At 53.0% G+C, this 26042-nt stretch overlaps 3 protein-coding genes across 10 annotated transcripts in view, besides 6 other annotated features; 2 read left to right on the top strand and 1 right to left on the bottom strand.

Moving 5' to 3' along the window:
* Positions 1-14253, top strand: part of FIGNL2 (fidgetin like 2) — a 30820-nt gene extending 16567 nt beyond the window's left edge. For 4 of the 5 annotated variants that reach the window (NM_001384995.1, NM_001384996.1, XM_017019299.2 and 1 more), the window contains one exon: positions 9728-14253. In NM_001384995.1, the coding sequence (NP_001371924.1) occupies positions 9739-11700 (1962 nt within the window). In that variant the 5' untranslated portion in view covers positions 9728-9738 and the 3' untranslated portion in view covers positions 11701-14253. Of the gene's footprint in view, positions 1-234; positions 396-9727 lie in introns of those variants that run through there. The other variant, NM_001013690.5, reaches the window with a different exon arrangement.
* Positions 2199-2748: an enhancer, noted in NCBI's record as "NANOG-H3K27ac-H3K4me1 hESC enhancer chr12:52223188-52223737 (GRCh37/hg19 assembly coordinates)". NCBI's record gives its function as "activates a minimal SCP1, AML or CMV promoter by ChIP-STARR-seq in primed H9 embryonic stem cells {active_cell/tissue: H9 hESC(primed)}" and the evidence as "EXISTENCE:reporter gene assay evidence [ECO:0000049][PMID:30033119]".
* Positions 3851-4402: an enhancer, noted in NCBI's record as "H3K27ac-H3K4me1 hESC enhancer chr12:52221534-52222085 (GRCh37/hg19 assembly coordinates)". NCBI's record gives its function as "activates a minimal SCP1, AML or CMV promoter by ChIP-STARR-seq in naive and primed H9 embryonic stem cells {active_cell/tissue: H9 hESC(naive and primed)}" and the evidence as "EXISTENCE:reporter gene assay evidence [ECO:0000049][PMID:30033119]".
* Positions 5076-5576: an enhancer, noted in NCBI's record as "H3K4me1 hESC enhancer chr12:52220360-52220860 (GRCh37/hg19 assembly coordinates)". NCBI's record gives its function as "activates a minimal SCP1, AML or CMV promoter by ChIP-STARR-seq in naive H9 embryonic stem cells {active_cell/tissue: H9 hESC(naive)}" and the evidence as "EXISTENCE:reporter gene assay evidence [ECO:0000049][PMID:30033119]".
* Positions 11181-11280: a silencer, noted in NCBI's record as "silent region_4474". NCBI's record gives its function as "represses an Ori minimal core promoter by ATAC-STARR-seq in GM12878 lymphoblastoid cells {active_cell/tissue: GM12878}" and the evidence as "EXISTENCE:reporter gene assay evidence [ECO:0000049][PMID:35858748]".
* Positions 17028-17527: an enhancer, noted in NCBI's record as "H3K27ac hESC enhancer chr12:52208409-52208908 (GRCh37/hg19 assembly coordinates)". NCBI's record gives its function as "activates a minimal SCP1, AML or CMV promoter by ChIP-STARR-seq in naive H9 embryonic stem cells {active_cell/tissue: H9 hESC(naive)}" and the evidence as "EXISTENCE:reporter gene assay evidence [ECO:0000049][PMID:30033119]".
* Positions 17227-18231, top strand: TMDD1 (transmembrane and death domain 1). Its single transcript, NM_001386737.1, has one exon. It carries the CDS (start codon positions 17259-17261, stop codon positions 18210-18212), a length of 954 nt encoding a protein of 317 aa, NP_001373666.1. The 5' UTR covers positions 17227-17258; the 3' UTR covers positions 18213-18231.
* Positions 17636-17715: a silencer, noted in NCBI's record as "silent region_4473". NCBI's record gives its function as "represses an Ori minimal core promoter by ATAC-STARR-seq in GM12878 lymphoblastoid cells {active_cell/tissue: GM12878}" and the evidence as "EXISTENCE:reporter gene assay evidence [ECO:0000049][PMID:35858748]".
* Positions 19288-26042, bottom strand: part of SCN8A (sodium voltage-gated channel alpha subunit 8) — a 221632-nt gene continuing 214877 nt past the window's right edge. For all 4 annotated transcript variants that reach the window (NM_014191.4, NM_001177984.3, NM_001330260.2 and 1 more), the window contains one exon: positions 19288-25870. In NM_014191.4, coding sequence (NP_055006.1) covers positions 24723-25870 — 1148 coding nt within the window. In that variant the 3' untranslated portion in view covers positions 19288-24722. The remainder of the gene's footprint in view (positions 25871-26042) is intronic.

The following is a 26042-nucleotide window of genomic DNA, read 5'->3' as shown; positions in this document are numbered from 1 at the left end:
CCAGCTACTTAGGAGGCTGAGGCAGGAGAATTGCTTAAATCCAGGAGGCAGAGGTTGCAGCGAGGCAAGATCGTGACACTGCATTCCGCCTGGGCATCAGAGCAAAACTCTGTCTCAAAATAAATAAATTAAATTAAATTAAAAATTAGCTAGGTGTGGTGGCATGTGCCTGTAGTCCCAGCTGCTCAAGAGACTGGGGTGGAGGAATGCTTGAGCCTGGGAGGTGGAGGCTGCAGTGAGCTATGGGGACACTACTGCACTGTAGCCTGGGCAACAGAGCAAGACCTTGTCTCAAAAATGTATATATATTTTGGGCTTTTTTTCCTAAAACGGGAACTACAACAGCATATTTGCGAGCTGATGAGAGTGACCCAGCAGAGAGGGAAATGGATCAGGTAGGAGAAGGGGGAACCGAGGGAACAGTGTCTTTCTTGAAAGAGGGTGGGATCAGTGCACAAGAGGGAGACTTCAGACAGCTCACCCATCCTCGGTTCATCCTTTGTTCTATCCCCTCTCCCGCCAAGGAGTGAGCTTAGGGACAGGGAAGGAAAGCATTTGGCTCTCATGCCCCGCTCAGGGGTGTGCTCCCTGCCTTGTATCCTTGCCTTTCCACAGCCTGTGGAAGTGGGAGGAGATCTGCTTTCAGGTCCCCACTTGGCCTCCAGAGGATTGCGTGACCTGGGGCCAGCCACATCTGTCTGGCACTGTTTTATCTGCAAATAATACCTGCTTAACTGGGGTGCTGTGGGGAGTGGGTGCCAGCACTCCCTGCTCAGCTCTGCACTTTCCTTGTTTTCTCCTGGAGCCTCCGAGCTGGGACCTGCTGTCCCCTCCATGCCCCAGTGCTCCCCATGACTGCTGCAAAATGAATTCCTGACTCCCTAGCGAAAGTACCTCCGCTGTCTCTGAACCTCCAGCATTCTTTCTTTTCCTCTTTTTTTCTTTTTTAGCTATATGACCTTATTTTTTTAATCTATCAACTGTATTTATTCCTGTAATTCTTCATTTGCACAAAAAATCAACAGTTGTCTCTGTTTTAAGGGTAATACAGGCTGGGTTTTGTGCTCACGCCTGTAATCCCAGCACTTTGGGAGGCTGAGGGGGTGGGCTGCCTGAGCCCCGGAGTTTGAGGCCAACCTGAACAACCTGGTGAAACTCTGTCTGTACAAAAACAAACAAACAAACAAACACAAACATTAGCCAAGCTCGGTGGCATGTACCTGGCACCTGTGGTCCCAACTGCTAAGGAGGCTGAGGTGGGGGGATCGCTTGAACCTGGGAAGTTGAGGCTGTGGTGATCTCGCCACTGCACTCCAGCCTGGGCAATAGAGTGAGACTCTGTCTCAAGAAAAAAAGAGCGTAGGCCGGGTGTGGTGGCTCATGCCTGTAATCCAGCACTTTAGGAGGCCAAGGCGGGCGAATCATGAGGTCAGGAGTTTGAGACCAGCCTGGCCAACATGGTGAAACCCCATCTCTACTAAAAATACAGAAAATTAGCTGGGTGTAGTGGTGGGCGCCTGTAATCCCAGCTACTCAGGAGGCTGAGGCAAGAGAATCACTTGAACTCAGGAGGGGGAGGTTGCAGTGAGCCGAGATCGCACCACTGCACTCCAGCCCATGCGACAGTGTGAGACTCCATCTCAAAAAAAAAAAAAAAACAACTCAATATTTTGATTTTAAAATTTCTTTTTTTAAATAAAAATGGGTATATTTATGGTATACAAAATGGTGTTTCGAAATATGTACCCATTGTGGAATGGCTAAATTGAGCTAATTAACATATGCATTCCCTCACATACTTATTTGTGGTAAGAACACCTAAAATCTACTCTCAGTAATTTTCTTCTTCTTCTTTTTTTTTTTGAGATGGAGACTGGCTCTGTTGCCCAGGCTGGAGTGCAGTGGCGCGATCTCAGCTCACTGCAACCTCCGCCTTCCAGGTTCAAGCGATTCTCCTGCCTCAACCTCTCAAGTAGCTGGGATTACAGGCACCCGCCACTACACCCGGCTAATTTTTGTATTTTTAGTAGAGATGGAGTTTCACCATGTTGGCCAGGCTGGTCTCGAACTCCCGACCTCAGGTGATCCGCCTCCCTCACCCTTCCAAAGTGCCAGGATTACAGGCATGAGCCACCACACCAGGCCTACTCTCAGTAATCTTCAAGTATACAATGCACTTTTATTAACTCTAGTCACCATATTTAACAATAGATCTCTTGAACTTACTCCTCCTGAAATTTTGTCTTTTGACCCTTTCTTCCTTCCTTCCTCCTTCCCATTCTCTTTCATTCCTTTTTTTCCTTTCTTCTCCTCCCTCTCTCCCTCCCTCTCTTCCTTCCTTTTCTCCCTTCCTTCCTTCCTTCTTTTTTCCTCTCTTCCCTTCCCTCCCTCCCTCCTTTCTGAGGAAACACTTTGTTTTCTCTTCCCTGTTAGCTGATCAAGTCTGCAGGCATGGGTCCCAATGTGGTCTGGTTTGCCTCTCAAGCCGGGAGTCATAGCTGGCACACAGTGGCTGGCACACTCAAGGTATCATGGAAGGAAGAATCATGCAGCCACCCCATGGCATCCTCTAGCTCATCCCTAAACATGTGTTGAGCCCTACTCATGCTAGGCCCCTTGCCAGCTCTAGGGCAGCCCCCAGGCAGGTTTTGAAGGCTATTCTCTGGCCCAGAACTGGGGAAAGAGGTTCCTGTATGGTAGGTGCCAGGGCTGTGGCAGGTGACCAGTCTTCCAGAGTCCCCTTGTTACCCCTCCCTCTCCTCTCCTGTTGCAATAACTGGGGGGTTGGCATGAGGGAGAGGGCCTAGAGGAGGGGGCACAGTCCTGTTCAAGCTCTGCCAGGCAGCCAGAGACCCCCTGGGGCACCCGTTGTAAGCAGCAGACAAAAAGCCTGGGACAAAAGGCCTGTGGGAGCCTTGGTGAATAGATAAATGAGATTTCCATAAGGGAGGCCGACAATGGGATTCTCCCTTCCAGCCTCTTTGTTCCAGGCTGAGATAATGGAGCTCAGAGGAGGCTTGCCCAGAGGCATGGCCCCTTCTCCACACCGGCCTGGAGCCGACTCACAGCTGCCCCTCCTTGCCTACCCTGCCCCCAGCCCAGTTTGGTCCAATCCCTTCCCTCCCCTATGGGTGACGGAATCCAGAATCAGAGAATTTCTGGAAGATCCGGAAGGAATCTTGGGGGTCTCCTTCGGGGGTTGGAGGAGGGTGTTGATGCTGTGTTGTTGGGGTTTCTTCCTACCTCACCCTGTAAAAAATTTATTTGTGTTTCTAATGAGAAAGGAAGGTTAGAGGTCCACTGATCTAAACCAGCGGTCTCAATGGACAGATGAAGAAAGTGGAGTTTAGTAAGGTTAACTCATGTCTTGGCCATGATCACAGAGTGACAGCTCAGGGCATTTGCTGCCCCAGGAAGCCAGGGTGGCCTGGGGGGATACCTACTGCCTGCATCAGGCCCTGTGCATGGAGAGCCTGTGGTCCTCAGGGATGGGAGAGGCACCCACAGGACCCGAGGGCAGCAGGACCACGGGGGAGATAGGTGCCTGAGTGTTCTGGCCAGCTGTGAAGGCTGAATCATCTCTCATGAACCTTGTAAGACTTCCTAAAAATGAGGGGAGGGGTTTTAGGAATGACTTTACTCTTCCATCCCGTAATTCTTTCCGTAACTATTGATTGATTGCCTGTGAGTTTGAAGGACTTCGTCCTGTGGGTAGAGTCAAGCGGGGTTCCAGCTTCCTATGTGCACAGCAGCACTTCACCTTCAAGGTCTGCAGAGAAAGAGCTGCCGCAGGAACAATACCTTGCTCCCCAAACCAGGCAGTTTGAGAGAGAGAGTGTTTTCTCCACAGAGTCCCAGCTACCACCTGGGAAAACCACAAAACCCAAATAAGGAACTGTGTGCCCAGCCCAGGGGTGTGTCTGGTTATCTGATGGCCCTTCACAGGGAAAGACAGGCTCTACTTGGGCGTTTTACCGGGAGGGGACACAAATTCTCCTGCCTGCTCTGAAGGGTAAATACACAGCACTCGGGGGCAGAGCCACTGTTTCCACAGGCCCAGGAAGTGAGTGTTGGTGAGTGTAGGTGTGCAGCGTGGAATGACTCAGGCTATTCTCTGGCTGTAAGAACAAAGGGCTGGGCCAGAGAGCCCTTATAGGCAAGTGGTTCAGGGCCTGGGCTTTGAGTCCTGTCTCCACTCTGTAACAGCCATGTGACCCTGAAGATGTGTTAATCTCTGTACCTCAGTCTCCTCATCTGGGGAGGCGATGGGGATGACAATAACAGTATTGATCTCAGAGCTGGTATGACGGCTGCATTAGAGATGTAAAACGTAGAACAGGCGCTGGTTCTGTACACAGTGCTTGGGTTTTGGGGAAATGGCGTCAGCTACTGGCCCGTCATATTAGAACTGGAAGGAACCTCTTTTCACAGAACATTCACCAAGTTTCCCCAGCCCCAAAGAGAAGTTACTTGTTTAGTGTCACTCAGCAAGGTTGGGGCACTGCTTGGGTTCTGAATTTGTAATTTGTGCCCCACACTGGACTGTGTCCATTATATACATTATCTTTAAATCCTCACTGCCACTCAACATGACATACGTTATGCCCTTTAACAAATGGAGAAATTGGCTGGGTGCAGTGGCTCAGGCCTGTAATCCCAGCACTTTGGTAGGCTGAGGCAGACAGATCACTTGAGGCCAGGAGTTTGAGACCAGTCTGGCCAATATGGCAAAACCCTGTCTCTACTTAAAAAAAAAAAAAACAAATAGAAATGGGGAAATTGAGGTTCACTGAGGTCAGGCAACCTGCCCAGGGTCACACAGTGTGTGTTTGGGCCTGGATTCAAATTAGGTCTCTGGGATTCAAAGCCTATACTTTCCCCCATGTCCTCAGGGCCTTTCCTCACCTCCAGCATCACTGATCATTGGAGTGTGACTTGTGAACCTGGACAGGAGACATGGGGTCCCCGTCCTGGGGAGATCCTTCCTGAGGCTCCTGTGGGAGGCAAACTGGCAGCAGGCCCAGGGTCTCTGTGTCAGAGCAAGAGGGCTGTAACTGGCCTGGGGGTGGGGGCAGGGAGACAGCATTTTCCACCTATAGCGGGCTAGGGGAGGAAGGCAAGGCCTGGCAGGCCTGGGTCTGTCAGGAAGCATCTAAGTGAGATCACACTTTAAACATGTGCGTGCCAGGCACAGGCATGAACATATGCACATGTGCCTGCAGCTGCGCACATCTGTACACATCCCTGGTGGTGTGCACATACATGTTGGTGTGTATTCAGACTCACGTGAGACATCGTTCTGGGCCTGTGTGCAGGTAAGGCAATCTCACCCACTCTTCTCAAACTTCTACCCTCTTCCCGCCCTTAGGTTGGGGCTGGTCCTTTGGCAGCTGAGTTCTTTCTCTTGGAAGGGGTTAAAGGAAAATGTAGCGCTATGGAACTAAGTTTAGCAGAAGTTGCTGACCTGGTGCCCTGCTTCCTGGTTAGATTTTTTTTTTTTTTTTTTTTTTTGAGATGGGAGTTTCGCTCTTATCGCCCAGGCTGGAGTGCAATGGCGCGATCTTGGCTCACTGCAACCTCCACCTCCCAGGTTCAAGATATTCTCCTGCCTCAGCCTCCCAAGTAGCTGGGATTACAGGTGCCTGCCACCACGCCCGGCTAATTTTTTTTTTTTTTTTGTATTTTTAGTACAGAGGGGTTTCACCACGTTGGCTAGGCTGGCCTTGAACTCCTGATCTCAGGTGATCCACCCGCCTCAGCCTCACAAAGTGCTGGGATTACAGGCGTGAGCCACTGTGCCTGGCCCCTGGTTAGATTATTGAAAGGATCTCTAGTGGATGTCATGTCACTGCATGTAGACAATGATGCCTTAAAGAAGGAAGAAGGGAAAAAGGGATGAGCTGGTAGCTAGTGGGGAACCCAGGGTCAAGAGAGGTCATTTTGAAGATGAGAATTAATCAAGCTAACTGTGTGGGGGGGGCGGGCCCAGCACCTAGGAGGGATAATTGATGGGGCCGAGAACTGGGGCGGATGGACCCTGAGGCCTTCTGGGTGCAAGATGGATACAGATGTAGATAAAGGTAAAAAGAGGGCCAGAGGTAAGGGAGCTTTGCCCAATGACTTCATTTTTTGCCCTGGCTAAAATGGGAGGAAATTTACCTGGAGTGGAAGGGCCAGGTAATGAAGGGCCAAATGAAGACTGAGAGTAGAGATCAGGTGGTCTAGATAAGAGTGTCGGCCGGGCGCGGTGGCTCACGCCTGTAATCCCAGCACTTTGGGAGGCCGAGGCGGGCGGATCACGAGGTCAGGAGATCGAGACCATCCTGGCTAACACGGTGAAACCCCGTCTCTACTAAAAATACAAAAAATTAGCCGGGCGTGGTAGCGGGCGCCTGTAGTCCCAGCTACTCGGGAGGCTGAGGCAGGAGAATGGCGTGAACCCGGGAGGCGGAGCTTGCAGTGAGCCGAGATCGCGCCACTGCACTCCAGCCTGGGCGACAGAGCGAGACTCCGTCTCAAAAAAAAAAAAAAAGAGTGTCATGGACAAGTTCCCCTCTCTGGAAGGGCGAGAGGGTCTGAGCTGTGGAGTAGAGGAGACTTCGTGGGTATGAAGCTGGCAGGATGGGGTGGAGGACTGGAGGTGGCTTACTGGAGTCCACAGTTGCCAAGGTGGAGCAGTTCTCAGTGACAGCCAGGGCCAGAGGATCTTCGTTGGCGGGTGGAGGTTTCAGTAAGGATTGCTGAAGGCCAGGCCAGGGGCTGGTGAGAGGGAGCCTGGCCCAAAAGTCTGGGCAATGAGGGACATCACTGACAGCTTTAGGAGCATAGGGGCTGGCGGTGGGGAAGATGTGTGTGGACAAGTCCAGATCTGAGTCTTCTTCATTTACTGTGTCTGTGCCCTTAGTGGGTAGGATGTCACTCTTTTTCCCCAGCTTGTCCAGTTTAATATGTTCAGGGTAAATGCTATCATCAAGGTCAAATCTCTCTTTCCATATTAAGTAAGGAAACAAAGCACAGAATAGTAAATAGAAAAAAAAAAACAGATTTGTGGTCTGGATAGTAACACAATACTTGCATTTGTGTAACTTTTGTTTGTTTGTTTGTTTTGAGATGGAGTCTCACTCTTGTCGCCCAGGCTGGAGTGCAGTGGTGCCACCTCGGATCACTGTAACCTCCGCCACCCGGGTTCAAGTGGTTCTCCTGCCTCAGCATCCTGAGTAGCTGGGATGACAGGCACCCGCCACTACGCCCGGCTAATTTTTGTATTTTTAGTACAGACGGTGTTTCACCATGTTGGCCAAGCTGGTCTTGAATTTCTGACCTCAGGTGATCCACCAGCCTCGGCCTCCTAAAGTGTTGGGATTACAGGCATGAGCCACTGAGCCTGGCCAATAACTTTGATGTTACCTCCTAAGACTCTGCAGCCAGAACCATTTGTGATTTCTGATGTTCCAGGAAATTACCCTCTTTCACACCAGGTAATGCCTCTGATCTTTGGAGATCCTGCTCGGCAAGAGCTGGAGGGCTGCATATCTGCCCCCAAGGACCTCGCACTCAGCTGTTACTCTGCTCTCCCTCCTGCCCAGTGGCCAGCATCACCTCTCAAATGGGGGCAGGACAACCTCAAGAACTCAACATACCTTCCTTTTTAAGCTACACTTTTATGGCTCATGCCTTCCCTAGGGCAGTGGGGATGAGAGTAAATAGCTTTATTTTCAAATGTCTTCTCCCACTGATGTCAGGTCACAGTCACCTGAAGTAGAGAGCATCAACAGGGGTGGGGTGCTGTCAACAAGCTGCTGCTAGGAAGGCCAGCTGTGGAGAACTGAGAAGCCACCGGGTTATCTTCAGCTTCCTCTTCGACTATATACACCCACTTTCAAAGCTCTGGTGACCCAACATTTCTTGGTGTTCTCTATGGACTCAAAGTGTATGGATGGTTATGTAGGTTGTCCACAAGCCTTTCCAACAGGGCACAATTCACAATTCCAGTGCAGCAGACACCAGATTTATGAGCTTTCCAGAAGGTGGCAGTAAAGTCCCTTGAGGAAGGGAATACGGTACGTGAGCTAGCGCAGCCCTGGCTTTCTGAAGGCACTGTGCCCTGCACCTTTGAAGGTGTTGTTCTTGTGATCTGGGATGCCCTGCTCACTTTAGCCTGTCTGGTCGACTTGATCCCTCACTTTTCATGGTCCAGCAAAGGCACCACCTCCTTGGGAAGTTGCCCTGAGCCCCAGTGCCCTTGGCACATACCTGTTTTCTCACTTCACAGAGGCCATTGTCTACCTGTCTTCTCCACCCGACTGACCCATCCTATTCACCTTTCAATCTTTCCCCATGCCTAGCAAAACACTTGGAATGTGCTCCATAAAAATCCGTTGAAGAAAGAATACTGAACCTATGAGAATACGTGAACCTGTTAACTTGTCTTATCAAAAGTTTAGCTTTGAGAAATCATCATCGGCATCGACTGTTGCTGGGTGTGCCATGGGCCTCTTAGTCTTTGAGATATTTTATCAGGCTGGCCCACAGGAGCCCTGTGCCTGGGTAGAACCATTCCCCAAGCCCCAGATCCCCTTACCAGAGTGTTTGGCTCACGCTGGGAGGTGCTAAGGGGGTGTCAGGAACAGCCAAGGAACATCTCCGCTGTGTTTACAGCATGGATGGCAAGAAGGACGTTGTTTATTACATCTCACAGGTCTGCTTCCTGAGGACCACGAAAAAAAGTTCTATGATCTCTAAGACAGGAACATTTTTGCTTTGAGTAATGGTGTTTTTTTACTTTGCAGTGAGTCTGATGACCTCTCCCTATTTGGCTACTGGGAAGCTCAGAGACAAATCTGTGGTCCACATCCTATGATGTGCATTGTTGTATATTAACTTTCCGCGGTCTTCTCCAGCATATGACCTATTTATTCTACATATTTTTGTATTGTGGTGAGACCTATTGGGAATAAAGCAGGTGGCAGCACCTGCCCCAGGCATACAGCCATTACATGCAGCTGGGTCTGGAATCCAGGTGCTCTGACTTCATCAGGCAGAAGCCAAAACCAAGTGGGAAGGAAATGAATGCTCTGGGTCAGCCACTGAGGTTTCCCATGGATAAGGCAGTCCCATACACGCCAGCATCTCTGACCTCAGGCCCACACGGGGCCTTGGAATCTCAGAATCTCAGGAAGGGCTGAGGTGAACAGAGCATTTAGGAATAACAAACTTCTGGGTCACTAGGCCAGGGACTCTGGGCAGGCCTCATACAACTCTTTACATAACCCTGGTGCCTCTGTAGTGGCCAGCACACGGTAGGTGACAAACATCTCTTACTGAGCGAGCTTCACTTGAGTTTGACTATTCCGAGGGCTGGGATGTCCCGCCCATTGTCCGATCCTTCATAGAAAGTAAGGATCACGTGTCCTGCAAAGGACATGGCTGGAGTGGCCAGGACAAAAATAATAACCATTGCCTACAAGGTGAAGTTAGGGCCAACCACATCATTTCCAGACCCCTTTGGGCGCTGAGGAAAATATTTTCAGACAACTTTAATCCTGGGACATAAGAAGTGTATTTGGTGCCTGGAGGGAGGGCCCCAAGAGAGTGGGGCGGTAGGTGGTGGATGCCGGAAGCCCAGCCTGTCCAAGCCGCAGTCTAGGCGGACTGGCCTATGGCTAGCAGTGGCCCACTGGGTCCTCGGTGGCTAGACCTCACCAGACCTCCTGTCTCTTGCCCGCAGCTCTGTTGAAGATGCACTGGACACCAGAACACGCCCAGCCCCTCAACCAGTGGCCAGAGCAGCACCTGGACGTCTCCTCCACCACCCCGTCGCCGGCCCACAAGTTGGAGTTGCCCCCTGGGGGTCGCCAACGCTGCCACTACGCTTGGGCACACGACGACATCTCAGCCCTCACTGCCTCCAACCTCCTAAAGCGCTATGCAGAGAAGTACTCTGGGGTCTTGGATTCTCCCTACGAGCGTCCGGCCCTGGGCGGGTACAGCGACGCCTCCTTCCTCAACGGCGCCAAAGGGGATCCCGAGCCCTGGCCAGGGCCGGAGCCACCCTACCCCTTGGCCTCACTCCACGAAGGCCTCCCAGGAACCAAATCGGGCGGTGGCGGCGGTTCCGGGGCCCTGGGGGGCTCCCCAGTTTTAGCCGGGAACCTCCCTGAACCCCTCTACGCCGGCAATGCGTGCGGGGGCCCATCGGCGGCGCCCGAGTACGCGGCCGGCTACGGCGGGGGGTACCTGGCGCCGGGTTACTGCGCGCAGACGGGCGCCGCGCTGCCCCCGCCGCCCCCGGCCGCGCTCCTGCAGCCCCCACCGCCTCCGGGGTACGGGCCCTCAGCGCCGCTGTACAACTATCCCGCAGGGGGCTACGCAGCGCAGCCCGGCTATGGCGCGCTCCCGCCGCCCCCAGGCCCACCCCCGGCCCCCTACCTGACCCCGGGCCTGCCCGCGCCCACGCCCCTGCCCGCGCCGGCACCGCCCACCGCCTATGGCTTCCCCACGGCCGCGCCGGGTGCCGAATCCGGGCTGTCGCTGAAGCGCAAGGCCGCCGACGAGGGGCCCGAGGGCCGCTACCGCAAGTACGCGTACGAGCCCGCCAAGGCCCCCGTGGCTGACGGAGCCTCCTACCCCGCCGCGGACAACGGCGAATGTCGGGGCAACGGGTTCCGGGCCAAGCCGCCAGGAGCCGCGGAGGAGGCGTCGGGCAAGTACGGTGGCGGCGTCCCCCTCAAGGTCCTGGGCTCCCCCGTCTACGGCCCGCAACTGGAGCCCTTTGAAAAGTTCCCGGAGCGGGCCCCGGCTCCTCGTGGGGGGTTCGCCGTGCCGTCGGGGGAGACTCCCAAAGGCGTGGACCCTGGGGCCCTGGAGCTGGTGACGAGCAAGATGGTGGACTGCGGGCCCCCGGTGCAGTGGGCGGATGTGGCGGGCCAGGGCGCGCTCAAGGCGGCGCTGGAGGAGGAGCTGGTGTGGCCCCTGCTCAGGCCGCCCGCCTACCCGGGCAGCCTGCGCCCGCCGCGGACCGTCCTGCTCTTTGGGCCGCGGGGCGCGGGCAAAGCGCTGCTGGGCCGCTGCCTCGCCACGCAGCTGGGCGCCACGCTGTTGCGCCTGCGCGGCGCGACCCTGGCTGCGCCCGGCGCCGCCGAGGGCGCGCGCCTCCTCCAGGCCGCCTTCGCGGCCGCGCGCTGCCGCCCACCCTCCGTACTCCTCATCAGCGAGCTAGAGGCGCTGCTCCCCGCCCGGGACGACGGCGCGGCGGCAGGGGGCGCGCTGCAGGTGCCGCTCCTGGCCTGCCTGGACGGGGGCTGCGGCGCGGGGGCTGACGGCGTGCTGGTTGTGGGCACCACCTCGCGGCCCGCGGCTCTGGACGAGGCGACCCGCCGGCGCTTCTCTCTCCGCTTCTACGTGGCGCTGCCCGACAGCCCGGCCCGCGGGCAGATCCTGCAGCGGGCGCTGGCCCAGCAGGGCTGCGCGCTCAGTGAGCGGGAACTGGCGGCGCTGGTGCAGGGCACGCAGGGCTTCTCTGGGGGCGAGCTGGGGCAGCTGTGCCAGCAGGCGGCGGCCGGGGCGGGCCTCCCGGGGCTGCAGCGCCCCCTCTCCTACAAGGACCTGGAGGCGGCGCTGGCCAAGGTGGGCCCTAGGGCCTCTGCCAAGGAACTGGACTCGTTCGTGGAGTGGGACAAAATGTACGGCTCCGGACACTGACGGCGCGCGGGGGAGGCCGCGGGAGCCGCAGTCCCTCCGTCCCCGCCGCCTCCGCGTGGGAGGGATGTCACTGACTAAACCCGGCTGGCAGGGGCTGGAGTGGTGAATGTGGGATCGGGGACAGGAGGGGTCTGCCGGTGGATATTTTTTTTTTCGTGGGAAGGAAAATGCTTCTGCCAGGCAGATGCCATATGCGCCGTGTACTCAGGTTTTTCCTATTTATTGTGGACTGGAAGCTCGCCATCTCCGCCCGGCAGACCGGGCAGATCCGGCATGGGCTGGCACCCGGGGCCTTAAGAACTCCTGCTCTCTTGCCACAACGCTTTTGTCTCCTCGCTATCTGAATGGCACCCTCCTTCTCCCTCACTCTCTCCATCCCATTCTCTGCATTCTCTTGGTTTTCTCTCCCTTTTGCTTTGTCGCTGACACCCCTGCCCACCCCATGCTGGCCCTGTTTCTCTCCTGCCCCTCCCTCCCCAGCTCTCCATCCCTCACCCTCTGTGCTTCTGTCTCCATCCCTGGCTCTCCAGCGTCCCTGGCCTTTTGGTCCCTGAGCTTTAATGCCTTTCCCTGCCTTCTGTTCTTATTTGGACTGCAGTGGCCCTTTGCAGGAGCTCTGGAGGCCCAGGGGCTGAGGAGGAGGGTTACCCCTCTACCCATCTGAAACCTAGGGTCTAGGGGGATCAAGGAAAAAAAGTCCCCAAAGAAGGGGAATTTTTTGTTTGTTTTTGAGGGGAGATCCCAGAAATGTAGCTTGTTTCATATTTTAGTCTTCTTATTTTTGTAAAATGTGTAGAATTTGCTGTTTTTCTTTTTCTTTTGACAACTCAGGAAGAAACTGACCTCAGAAAGAATGTTAGACTTTGGCTGCTCTCCTGTGTGCCCCTCACACCTGCCCCCTCCCCCCCACTCCATCCAGGGGACCAAATTCTCCCAGACACTCAAAAAATGAGACTTACGGGGAAGGGGAGAGGAAGACCCAGAGGCCTCAGTGAAACCCCAGCTATTCCTGGTCAGAAGCAGAATGTATTCCTAAGGGCTTCCTCCCCAGGGCCGAGGCCTAGGCATGAATGTGGGGAGTGGGCTGTGGGGTTTGAGAGAAGGGAGGCCTTATTCCTCTCCTGCTGCTCCCCACCCCCTGCCCCACCCAACCCCTCCGCTGAGTGTTTTCTGTGAAGGGCTATCCAGAGTTAGGATGCCCTTGCCCAATTCCTTCCTGAGACCCAGAAGGTAGGGTGGGAGGGCCCAAATGGGAAGGTGACCTAAGCAGAAAGTCTCCAGAAAGGTCATGTCCCCTGGCCCTGCCTTGGCAGAGGTCCCCAGTGACTTATGCTAGGAGGATTCCATCTGGGTAGACAGTCTGGCCACAAAATCAGCTACTGGACCTCAGCCATCTCTGCTGGAGGCTCTGAGGAGGAGTGAGCATCCCTCACTTGTGGGGGCTCTGTGAGGAAATGTGCCTTCCCCATTCCCCCGGAGTCCTAGGTCTGGAGCTCCAGGGCTGGGAGAGGGTGAGGGAGATGGGCAGGGGTGTTTTCTCTGACCTTGGGGGCTTAGTCTCAGTCCTGCCTGAACTTTCCACTAGGCTTGGAACCCTTCCAAGAACCATATTTCTCTCCTTCCCACCAATTTTCCCTTGATGAGGCTTTAGCAGTTTGCTCCCACCACCCCCAGCCCATTTCACAACTCTGATCTTAGTCCAAAGCAGGGGACACGCCCCCCCACCACCACTTTTTCTCTCTCCCATCTCAGCCTCCTGTGCAGTTCCTTGCCTGCCCGTGCATTTCCTAGAGTCTACTGCCTCCCCCCTGGCTGGGAGGGTGTCTGGGGGGGATCTTTCAGGGGCCCTGGCACCCAGGGCCTGTGCTGGCCTAGGAGTGCTGACCAGAAGGCTGCTCTGTTCCCCCCCACCCCCGTTGCTTTCTGGCCCCCTCTTTGGAGCCAGCCACCCACAGGGCTTTGGTGCCTCAGAAGCAGTGGGCTGCCGGGTCACAGCCGCAGGCTGCAAAAGACCCTCGGAGGGAGCATGGAGTGAGGGGTTCTCTCTCAGGTGTGTATGTATTGGGGGGTGGGGGTGGGTGGAGGGTGTCAGGGAAGTTGGGGTGGGATCCCAGCCTTCCCTTCAAGAGGCAGGGAGCTCTGGGAGGTGGAGTCCCCACCGCTTTCTCTACTAGGCTCCTCCTGTTCCCCAGGCTTGGGGAGCTTTGCACAAGGAGACTGCCCCCAGCCTAGTGGCACCTACCTCATGGGCTCTGGGGCAGGTAGGGGAAGGGCCAGTCCAGCTCTGGTAATGCTGGGGGGAGGCATACCAAAGAATCCAGGGGCAGGGAGTGGGGAGGGTGACTTCCGAGCTGGCCTCTCCCCTTCCTCTACCCAGACTGGGGCTGGGATCCTCTCCTCCCGCTGTAACCATTTCTACCTCATTTTGCTGCGTGTTGTACATGGACGTATTTATCTCCTGTCTGACGATGCTCTGCAGTTGTGGTCTGTCTACCTCAGAAGAGACTGTATTTTAAAAGAAAGTATTACACAGTATTAAAGCGATGACATGTGGTTTGCAGAAGATTTCTCGGGGGCAGTGGGATGTGGGAGTCCTCTGGGAGATGTCTGGACACCTGTGTATGCTGGTGCCCTGGGCGGGGTGTTCCTAATCCCCTAGTAACAAGGAGCAAGGACTCCTGTGACTCACTGTGATACAGTGAGTACCTACAGGAATGGGCACTGAGGCTATGGGGAAGAAGCCATGGGTAAGGGGCCTTCCTGCCGTTCTGAGCTCTGACATTCAGCACTGGGGCAGGCTCATTGTATCCCCAGAGCCACAAAATAGGGGGGCAAGGAAGGGCTCACATGTTTGTTGAATGAGTGAAGAAATGAATGCATGGAGGAAGGGGGTTGCTGAAGAGAGGGAGGAGCCATCCAGAACCTGCAGCAGCCTTCATTGAATAGAGCTAGGGTTATACTTGTATTCCATTCTCAGTGGAGATAAAGTGGATAGAGGGCGGGGTGTGGAGACGGCCAAGTTCCAATGTCTCAGGTGACGTGGTGTCCTTTGTCTACCATCCCCCCATCCATCAGTCCCCTAACTCTATCTGTGACAGCTCATCGTAAACTGGGAGACTGAACAACCTAGGAACACTTGCTGAACAAGCTCTGTAGAGATGTCAGTGAGAGATTTGGACCCACAGCTCCTAGGTCCTTGAATACTCTAGGCAAGATTGCTGAGCATGCGCAAGAGCACAGGGGAGTAGTGCACCCAGGCTCCCTGCTATGGCTCACTGCACACATACAGGAGGCAGCGTGAGCATCAGGGAGACCCTGCAAAGCAAAGAGGACACAAATGTGAGTGTGCCTGGAGGTGGGGGCTCTAAGGCACTGCCCCAGAGTCCATTACCACAAGCCTCTCAGCCCTTGGAGGTCCAGACCCACCTGCCCCCACTCCTCTATTTTGCACCTTACTGTGTGCAGACATTGGGCCTGGCACTGAGGATACAGAAGGGGTCAAGCACAGCTGCTATTCCTGGAGCCCATGTCTAGGTGGGAAAAGCTCAGAAATTGATCATTTAAAAATACAACTGGATAAAGCTGCTGGGGATGGGGGACCACATCAAAGTAGTCTTTATATTCATACACCTAGTGCAATTATCTGGTACATACAAGACATTGAATAGATGTTTCTTGAATAAATCCTCTAATTTCCAGATGAGTGCCCTGGTGGAGGATGCACAGGTTATCTTAAGAATGCCAAGAAATGGCTGGGGGCGCGGTGGCTCACGTCTGTAATCCCAGCACTTTGGGAGGCCAAGGTGGACGGATCACTTGAGGTCAGGAGTTTGAGACCAGCCTGGTCAACATGGTGAAACCTAGTCTCTACTAAAAATACAAAAATTAGCTGGGCATGGTGGTGCACACCTGTAGTCCAAGCTACTTGGGAGGTTGAGGCACGAGAATCACTTGGACCTGGGAGACAGAGGTTGCAGTGAGCCGAGATCATGCCGCTGCACTCCAACTTGGGTGACAGAGGGAGATTCTGATACAAAACAAAACAAAACAAACAAACAATGCCCAGAAAAGATCCTGACTTGTGGTGGTCTTGGTGGGGTGTCAGGAAAACTTCCTACCCAGGAGGGGAGGGGGATAGCTGGGCAAAGTATGGAGGCTGGAAACTGCATCTTACGTGCTGTGCCACGAGTCTTGTTGTGTTACAAGATAGTGAGGGCAGGAATTGGAGGAGTGAGGCTGGAGGAGTCAGCGGGGACCTCACTATGGAGGGCCTTCCATGCCCTGCTAGGAGCTGGGGCTCTATGATGAAGCCTTTGTGGGAGTTTAGGGGGCCGAGGACAGGACTGATTTGCAAGTTAAGAATTCACACAATGGCCCTGCCTTGTGGCTCATGCCTGTAATCCTTGCGCTTTGGGAGGCTGAGGCAGGAGGATCCCTTGAGCCCAGGAGTTCCGAGACCAGCCTGGGCAGCAGCAGGAGACCCTGTCTCTTAAAAAAACAAAAAATTCACACATTGACTCAACAAATCTTTACTGAACACTTATTATGCTCTAGTTGCCATGGGGACAATGTATGGACCTTGCAGTCTAGTTGGCGGAGACAGTAAAAAGGCCGAGCTGCAGTGTGCTGTGGGGCAGATAGGAGGAGTCCCTAATGGGGACACCACTAAGGGGTGTGACTCGGAGTCAGGGAGGGCTTCCCAAAGGCGCCTGACAGCAGGAGGAGTGCAGGCCGCGATCAGAAGGAGAGCCAGAGCCAAGCTTCCTTGGGGGAAATGGAATAAGTGCAGGTAGGCAGGGCCCCAGTGTTGGGGGGCAAGGATGGGGGCTGGAGGACCAGCAAGAGAGGAGGAGGGTCTGGACTTGCACTGGAGTGGGAGAATGGGATGATGGATTCATTTAATAAATACTAAACTTTAGTATTTGGTAGACAAGAGGAGAATTTAGGAATTGAGGCCAGGCATGGTGGCTCATTCCTGTCATCACAGCACTTTGGGAGGTGGTGGCAGAGGCGGAGGCTGGAGCTGGAGACCAGCCTGCGCAACACAGCAAGACCCCTATCTGCACAAAAGAAAATAAAAAAAGAGAATGTAGGAATTGATTGAATATCGAAGTTAATGGAGAGCAAGGGGTCTAGGGCTTTTCGTAAAGGGGAACGGTTGGGGAGTACATGAATTAGAAGAGATGTTGGTAACTTGTTCAGTTTGAGGTATTAGTGGCTATTAGGAGGCCTAGGGCAGGAGCTACAATGTAAAAGCCCAGAATCCTAGCCTCCTGGGGGGCTGAGAACCCCCTTCCTGGGTGTTGCAAGCCCTCTTACCCCAGTTCCTGAGTTTCGTGAGACCCTCCAACAAGTGCCATGTCGGAGTCCCCGTCTCCGTCGCTGGGTGTTGGCAGCCCCCTTGTCCCCAGTCCCCTCCTCCACTAGGCTTCCCGACTGTTCGGAGCCTCCTCCCTCCCACAATCCGCGGGCGTTCGGAACCCCTCCCCCATCACCGGCGCGGAGCCCGTCCACGTCCCCGTCCCCGCACAGTCCTCGGTCCCTGGTTCCCGCCAGGGATGGCGGCGCGGACTCTGGCGAGCGCCTTGGTCCTCACGCTCTGGGTTTGGGCGCTGGCTCCGGCGGGGGCCGTGGACGCTATGGGCCCTCACGCAGCCGTCCGTCTGGCCGAGCTGCTGACCCCGGAGGAGTGCGGCCATTTCCGGTCGCTCCTGGAGGCGCCCGAGCCCGACGTGGAGGCCGAGTTGTCCCGGCTTTCTGAAGACCGGCTGGCGCGGCCTGAGCCGCTCAACACCACGTCGGGGTCTCCGAGCCGGCGGCGGCGGCGAGAGGCGGCCGAGGACCCGGCGGGCAGGGTAGCCGGGCCTGGAGAGGTGTCCGACGGCTGCCGGGAGGCGCTGGCGGCCTGGCTGGCCCCCCAGGCCGCGTCCCTGTCCTGGGACCGCCTGGCTCGGGCCCTGCGGCGCAGCGGCCGCCCGGACGTGGCCAGGGAGCTGGGCAAGAACCTCCACCAGCAGGCGACGCTGCAGCTGCGCAAGTTCGGGCAGCGCTTCCTGCCGCGGCCCGGCGCCGCCGCCCGCGTGCCCTTTGCCCCGGCCCCGCGCCCCCGGCGCGCCGCGGTCCCCGCGCCGGACTGGGACGCCCTGCAGCTGATCGTGGAGCGCCTGCCGCAGCCCCTGTACGAGCGGAGCCCCATGGGTTGGGCGGGGCCGCTGGCGCTCGGCCTCCTCACCGGCTTCGTGGGGGCGCTGGGCACCGGGGCGCTGGTCGTCCTGCTCACGCTATGGATCACTGGCGGCGACGGCGACCGGGCGTCGCCCGGCAGCCCCGGCCCGCTCGCCACAGTGCAGGGCTGGTGGGAAACAAAGCTGCTCCTTCCTAAAGAGCGGCGCGCGCCCCCGGGGGCCTGGGCTGCAGATGGGCCAGATTCTCCCTCACCTCACAGTGCCCTTGCCCTCAGCTGTAAAATGGGAGCACAGTCTTGGGGCAGTGGTGCTTTGGACGGTTTATAAACGTTAAGAAATACCGAAAGAGCAGAGAGTTTGTTAATCCGTTGGAAAGGAGCAGCAAAGCCCGTGGGACTGCCGGTGGAAGAGGGGCTCAGGTACCAGGCTCCCAGGGTGGCAGGTGCACCGCCCAATTCTTGTCAGCTTAGCTTTTTTTTTTTTTTTTAAGAAGGAGCCTCGCTCTGTTGCCCAGGCTGGAGGGCAGTGGTGCGATCTCTGCTCACTGCAACCTCTGCCTCCGGGGTTCAAGGATTCAAGCGATTCTCCTGCCTCAGCCTCCCGAGTAGCTGGGACTACAGGTGTGCGCAGCCACGCCCCGCTAATTTTTGTGTTTTTAGTAGAGACGGGGTTTCGCCTTGTTGGCCAAGTTGGTCTCCAACTCCTGGGCTCAAGTGATCCGCCTGCCTGGGCCTCCCAGAGTGCTGGGATTACAGGCGTGAGCCACTGCGCCAGGCAGATTCCTTCTTATCTTGCAATTATTCTTCCACGAAGAGTTACCACTTATTGCGCACTGTGTGCCAGGCCTCATGCTAACTAGTTACATACATTATTTGATGTACTCTTCAAAACTCAAGGAGGAAGGTATTGTCTCCATCACACATGCGGAAACTCGGCCACAGCTAGTTAGTGGCATAGTCACGTTCTCGAACCTACGGCCGTCTGACCTGAAAGTTTGAGCTCCAGAAGGAAAGGTGTGTGCGCAATAAGGGGCTTGAAAAACGTGATGGGGACCAGAACAAGATGTGCAGCTCCCCCTCGGGGCTACTCTGGGGCTCTGCTGGAGTGTGCAGAGGCAGCACCACTAGAGAGGGGTGTGCCCACGTGCAGGGCGCCGCCTCCAAGGTGCTGCCCCCCGCCAGGCAAGGCCTCCTGACATGCTGAGTGGAGTCCCAAACCTTTCCCACACACCTGGGAGTGGCTAGGGCACTGCCTGCCCAGCTAAGGGGCTGAGCCGCGGTGAGCCCTTACGCAGACTTCTGTCCCCGCCACGGGACAGAGTGGGGTCCTGCGAGGTGGTGGTGCCTGTCCACCTTGGGCTTCAGTGTGAGGGCAATGACAGAATGACAGGCCAGTCCAAGAGGAGAGTTGAAAACAAGATTGACGTAACCCTTTATTGCAAATTCTAAAGTAAAAAGATGTACAGTACAAAGTAAAATTGAAATTTCATACTATAAACTTCCAATCCACTTACACATTCTCATTTCTCAAGCATTTCTGCCATTTCCGCATAAACAGAACAGGGAACAAGTCGAGGAGGTGAGGGAAGGAGATACAGCAAGGGGAAAAAATTGTCTTGAATAATCACAAACCCCAGAAGCAAGTGAAAGGAAAGACATTTTCTCGACCTGCTGTCCTGGTGATGAGAAGCGGGGGTGGTTGGAGCAGTGCAGTTTAAAATGGCTCTCAGAATAGCAGCATTTATGGTACCATTTCAGCTTCCTTAAGTCCAATAATACTTTGCCCTTCCCTAGCGCCTTTGCCTCTGTATCTCAAAACGCTTTACAAAACATTTAGTTAAAGCCTCACAACACCCCTGTGAGGTAGGTCAGTATTATTATCCCCATTTTACAGATGGGGAAACTGAGGCACAGAGAGGTTAAGTGACTTGCCCAAGGCCACACAGCGAGCCAGCGGTCAAGCTAGGGACAGAACACAGTTCTGTCCCTTTTCTGGAACCACTGGACCACACTCCCCTTTACCTATATACATTCTTCACACACACACACACACACCACATGTGCACACCCACCCACCCCACCCCACTTAGCCTCTATGTACAGCAAACAGCAGTGGGGGGCAGGGGCAGGGGGTGCCTCAGGAGTTTTAATGGAGGAAATCTTGGTAATCTTGGAAAGGGAATCCAAGAAAGCACAGAGCTGAACAATGGAAACTCTGTTGCAAAACTTGGGCCCCTCCCAACCCAGACTTCCTCTTCTCTCCTGATGTCCCCCTGGCTGGCAAGTTGCAGCCAATTCTTTAGGGGGTGGGGAGTACCTGAAAATGAACGAAGCTTTTTGCTAAACTGTGGGCAACATCTGAGAAAAGAAAGAGGCATCATTACAGAAGATGCCCAGGACTCAAGTCACAAAGTCATGACCCATGGCGATCTCACCTCCACAGCAGGCCTGGAGGCTGGGGGCCGAGGGGAGGAGGATGGGGACTGACCTACCAGCCATCTCGCTCCAGAGTGGAGCTACTGGAGCGGACTAGAGTGGGCACTTCGAGATCCTCCTGAGAGAGTGTTCCTGAACCAGGAGACATGGCCTAGGCCTAGAGAGGGATGTCCCCAAAGGGGGACAGGGAGAGAAGGAAGAGGAAGCGTGCCCCCACCCCCACACAAATGTGAAGGAGACCAGCCCTCGTCTGTGGGCCTGTCTGGGGCGATGGAGGGCAGGGCCCAGTATGAGCTTGCAGAGTGGAGGCTGTTGGGCATCGCACATGCCCTAGCTTTGGGGCACAGGGATAGGGTTTTTTTGTTTTTGTTTTTTAACATACAGGTGAAAAAGGCAGAAGTAAGGCCAGTCCAGCTGGGTTGGCTGACGTCATCTCTGAGGGCTCTGCCAGGTGGATTAGGTGAAGAGAGGTTTTATGGGCCTCTAAGCACCGGCCAGTAGTGGGGAATGCCACATGCAATGGGTGAGTGGGGATCTGGGGGGGGTCAGGACCTTGCTTTTCTTCCAATCTCTCCTTCTTAGCCAGAACTTTGCGAGAGCCCCTTTGATTTCTCTTCCCTCTATTCCCCTCCTTTCCCCAAATGTGCTAAGGTCCCAATTCCCAGACCCCTCCCAGGACTCAAGAATTGGGATAGTCAAGCAACAAACACACCAAGACAGGCTTCCCTTGTACAGTAAAAAGGGTCATTTTTATTTTGTTTCCTTTTGGCTTAGAGGAGTGATGGACTTTTTATCACGTCTCATTAGGGCAGCATTGGCCTCCATGCATTCACTAATACACTAATCTTCACTGTTGGTCTTTTACAGGTTTACGTTGGTTGCAGCAAAAAATAAAAGAACTCTGGGCACTGTCGCTTTAGGGGCTTTGACTGGGAGTTTGTTTATCTCTCTCCAGTCAACTTCTGACGCCAAAAGTGGCTCGTTTAGAAAGGAGTGAGAGTAGGCCATGTTAACATGGAAGTTTCTTCCTCCTCTCGTCCTCTGCTTTAAATTACAGAGTCTCCTCATCCTAAGCAACAAGGAGGTTAAGGAAAGAAGAGGGGGAAAATGTTTTTCACACACAAACCAGCAACCATGTCAGCTGCTGCTCAGTGGCTTTGGCTCTGCATTTTAAATTATTAACAGCATCACACATCTTTTTGCTTTTTGTCCTTTTTTTAAAAGGTGGATTGTGGAGTATAAATACTGCACCAAGGACCTGGCTACAAAAAATAAATATTTATATTATATTTATATATCTATATATATATGTGCAGTGATACTGTGGCTGCGCTGCTCTTTGATTGGCTTCGTTAATATTTGGCAAAGCATTGCCACTTACCCACTCAGCGAAGATGCACAAAAACGTCATCACTGATTCTTTCAGTTCGATGCCTGTTAACTGCGGGTGTAAACTGCTGGTGATGGTGTCATTTACTACCAAAGAAGTGTGGAGCAGGATGGGTGAGAGAGTGAGTGAGTGAGCAGGTGGAAGGACAGTGGGTGAAGGATAAAAAGGTGGGAAACATTTTTTTTTTAAAAAGTGAAACTTCAAATACAGCGGAGGTGGCTTCTTTCCTATGAGGCTGGCTGATGGGTGCCAGATACCAAGGCCCATGTGTTACTGAGGAGACAGCCTGCTGGGCTGGGGTCAGGAGCTAGCGGAGGGAAACGGTTAGATCTCAGAAAAATCTCATCACTATGCCCTAGTAGCTTAATGACATCACTAGCATGAGCACATGGTGTACTTGGCGGGATCTTACAGCTCTGTTGCCCATCTCAAGACCTAAGAACAATTATTAAGTTTAGCCAAATCTTGCATAGACGTGGTTAGAATTTATTGCACATTGGAACAAAAATATATATTTTTTGTTGTTTTGGAAAAGACCATTAGCAATAAAAAATTTTTTGTCTGTCTGTCTGGTTTGGGGATGTACATTGGCTGACAGCATCTAAGTTCTAAGAAGAAAGAAAAGTATAAAAAATAAAAATAAACATGACAATGGCATAAGCCAGAAGCCATTTCCTATTTAATAAGTTAATAATTTGTATTTACAAAAAGGCATGCCAATAAAATAAAATTATATATTACAGTATTTATAATTCTCTTAAAAAGAATAACCACACATGTCAGCTTCTGTTTTGTGCTGTTTACAATGTAGCCTGTACATGTTACTATACATTCATCCTAGCAGTTAGCAGGGTCACTGAAAGATAGGCCTTCCCAGTCTGGTATTGGGTGTAGTACAAAAATTCTACGGATGCTGCTGCAGAAGCAGGCTTAAGAGAGCTGGACAGTTTCTAGTGGTCCAACAAGATAGAAAGCTCTGCTTGCCGACTTACTGTGGTTTGTTCTATGCAAAACTAGTCTGGTGGACTGTGAAATTACCTTCAAAGTGCTTCTACTGCAAGGCAGATCGGTGTGTCTGATTATGGGTTGGTTCTTCTTCCCCCTCTAGTGTATGGTTCAGGAAGAATTTATTTGGATTTGGTTCACATGCTAAAGTCTCTTTTCACTCTTTGTATAGAGACTTCCTGACACATTCAACTGCAGCATCTTGGCTTTGAAATCCAGTCATTAGGTGAGAAACCCCTGGACTAAAAACTGTCTTTCCTAAAGCAGGAGATGGAATGGAAGATATGACGCTCCCCCAGAAGCCACACTTCAATGACAATGGGCAGGTCGCTAAGCAGATAGCAAAACTGGCTGCAAGGGAATGCACTGAGGGAAGCTGGAACATCCTAAAGAATTAATATTAAATTGCTTTCTCATGAAAACCAGTGCAGTAAAGAAACCAAGTGGGCTTGGTTCAGAGGCGGCTCCATCTCTACCTCAGGTCTCACCAGTGACTATTATTCTAATAATAAGTGAAAGAAACCACAGCCGTAACCCCAATGCTGCTACCCTCACCCACCTCTGTGGGCAAGGGAAGCCCTGCTCAGTGGAGAAATGTGATGGAGGCAGGGGGAGCCATGCAGTGTGTGAGTATGCGATGACCCCTCTGCAGAAGAGAGAGGTCAGTTCAGAATATCTGAACCCCTCGCGGTATCGACCCATGCCTGGAGAAAGCCACAATGCAGAGGACATGATACGAAATGAAATGAGCACCCCATAACTCCCAATGAAAGGTCATTTTAAGTTCCCCAAATTACCCCTAGAGATAACTGGTGCTACTTTGAAAAGCACTTTTATCTCTACCCCAAATAAGTGTCAATTCTCCAGTATGAAGGCTAAACGATCGTCATAAATATTGCAAGATACAAATGAATTTTTTTTTTAGCCCTAGGATTTGGTTTTACAGTGACATAAATAGTACAAGCCATTTGGGATCAAAGTCTCCCCCATGTACTGGACACAGAGCAGCATTAAATAGTTCATCTTGCAAAATGTGCAACAATGGCTGTATGTTAGAGATGTCTGTTAAACATATACACGCAACGGATCCATCTGCTTGTTGGATTGGGTTTGTTTTTTGTTGTTGGTGGTGTTAGTCAATTAGTTGGTTGTTTCCCTACCCAGAAGGTGTATGAAGGACTTTTAAGAACTCAAAGAATTGTAGCCGGTATGGAACTCTTACCATTTTCTCCAAATACAGTGAACGGTGCAGGGCTGGGTCCTGTCCAAAGGCTGACCCAGTGCAAGGGACTAGATTAGTAGTGTCCTGTGGTGTATGGATCTCATGCATGACTTCTGATCACGGCATGCCATCATGCAAATCATTTCTACGCATTGAACGAGCACAATGTTTGGAATCGGCCTGAGCAAGTCCTCCTCAGCCTGAAGAAACCTGATTGTTTTCCCCCACCCATCTCCAAACCACGTGAAGCCCATGTGGAGAAGATGCGCTTTATGTCAAAGAAACTGACAATTAAATGACATGGGCTAAATGTGAGTGTGTGTGTGTGTTTTCTTTTTGCTGCTTAGCTTAACTAATGTAAGAATGCAAATATAGTTTGCATGAACAAACGAACTTTTAAAGTGATGCTTTCTGCTTCTGAGAATCAATAAAATGAAAAAATAAAATCCATTTGGCTGCAACGGAAATATGCTGGTCCCGGCAGCCTCTCTTCTGTTTCTGTATCTGGTTAGTTTTGTCCTAAGTTGCATTGACTGATGTGGAACATGCAGTAACCACCTGCCCAAGCATTAGAAAATCTGTAAGTCTAGGGAGCGGGGTCCTTTGCCCTTGGCAGGTCACTGCTCAAGATGCAGCTGTGTTACGTGGTAAGCAGACGACGTTTGGTATAGATCTTCAGGTTAGAGTCTCCACAGCTGTTCTGCATTGATAATATTCAGGAAGTTTGTAAACAATCTTTCACTTGCGAGTTTTAGATCTGTATAATACTGAATTTTTGTTCTCCTCTAACACTTGGATTCTCTGACCTCTTTTTGTCTTTTGGCTCTTTCCCTTCTTCCTTCCTCTGCCCGCTGCTGTTTCTCCTTTTCAGGTTTAGTTACACTGTCATAGGACGGGAGGGAGGCTGTAGATGGGGTGCTCTCTTTTTTCTCCCGGTGTGTGCCTCCATTCTCCAGCTTATTAGAAGTTGTCTTTTTGCAGATGAAGCCCCGCCTTGCCAAATGTCCCCGGTAGGCACGCTGCAGGACCACTGCAGATACCTCCTCCTGCTTGCGACGCAGTGTGGTTGTGATTGGCTCGTAAGACACTTTGGAAGGATTGGATGCCACGAACCGCTCTTCCATCTGCTGCCGCAGGATGTCCAACTCCCCGCTATCTCCCAGGACCCGCTTGGTGAAGGCAAAAAGGATGTCCAAGCAGTGGATGCGATCCCCGCTCACCATTGGCAGATCCATAGCGATGAGCTCAATGGTATTGGGCTTGGGCACTCGGAGAGGATGCTCCAAGGCATCTGCAAAGTCTGCCAGCTTACAGTACTCAATGAACTGGGTGGCATCGGGGTCGAACTTCTCCCAGATCTCATAGAAGGTCTCAAAGTCATCCTCACTCAGAGGGTCTGCACTTTCCTCTGTGGCTACACTGAAGTTCTCCAGGATGATGGCAATGTACATGTTCACGACAATTAGGAAAGAGATGATGATGTAGCTTACAAAGAAGAAGATGCCCACTGAGGGGTTCCCACAATCTCCCTTAAAGCCACTCCCTGGGTGTTCCTTATCTAGGCTGCAGTCAGGGGGGCGGTTTAGGATGGGCAGCAGCAGGCCATCCCAACCAGCTGAGGTTGTGATTTGAAACAGGCAGATCATGCTGTTGCCAAATGTCTCAAAGTTGAACATGTCATCGATACCAGCCTCGTGCTTCACATATGCAAAATTGGACATCCCAAAAATGGAGAAGATGAACATGACCAGGAAGAGCAGAAGGCCGATGTTGAACAGGGCAGGCAAGGACATCATTAAGGCAAAGAGCAGGGTACGAATCCCTTTGGCGCCTTTGATCAGACGCAAGATGCGCCCAATACGGGCCAATCGGATGACTCGGAATAGGGTTGGGGAAACAAAGTATTTCTCAATTATATCTGCCAGGAACATTCCTAAGAAGAGGAATAGAAGAAGTTATGTTATTGAGATGGGAGACACCCTTTCTCTTTATTTTTTTTACCTGGCATTGTGGAACCCTTAGGTTCAAAGGGCTTTGCAGAATAAGTGCCTTACTATTCAGTCTGAACTCTCAAAAAGTGACATTTTGGCTGGGCATGGGGGCTC

This window comes from Homo sapiens, chromosome 12, assembly GCF_000001405.40.
Source record: "Homo sapiens chromosome 12, GRCh38.p14 Primary Assembly".
In the NCBI taxonomy this organism is placed as follows: Eukaryota; Metazoa; Chordata; class Mammalia; order Primates; family Hominidae; genus Homo; species Homo sapiens.
Note: the sequence above shows the minus strand (reverse complement) of the source record. Positions and strands in the feature narration are given on the sequence as shown.

Excerpts from the sequence above, each read along its gene's own strand:
- TMDD1 (NM_001386737.1), top strand. The coding sequence starts at position 17,259 with ATGGCGGCGCGGACTCTGGCGAGCGCCTTGGTCCTCACGCTCTGGGTT.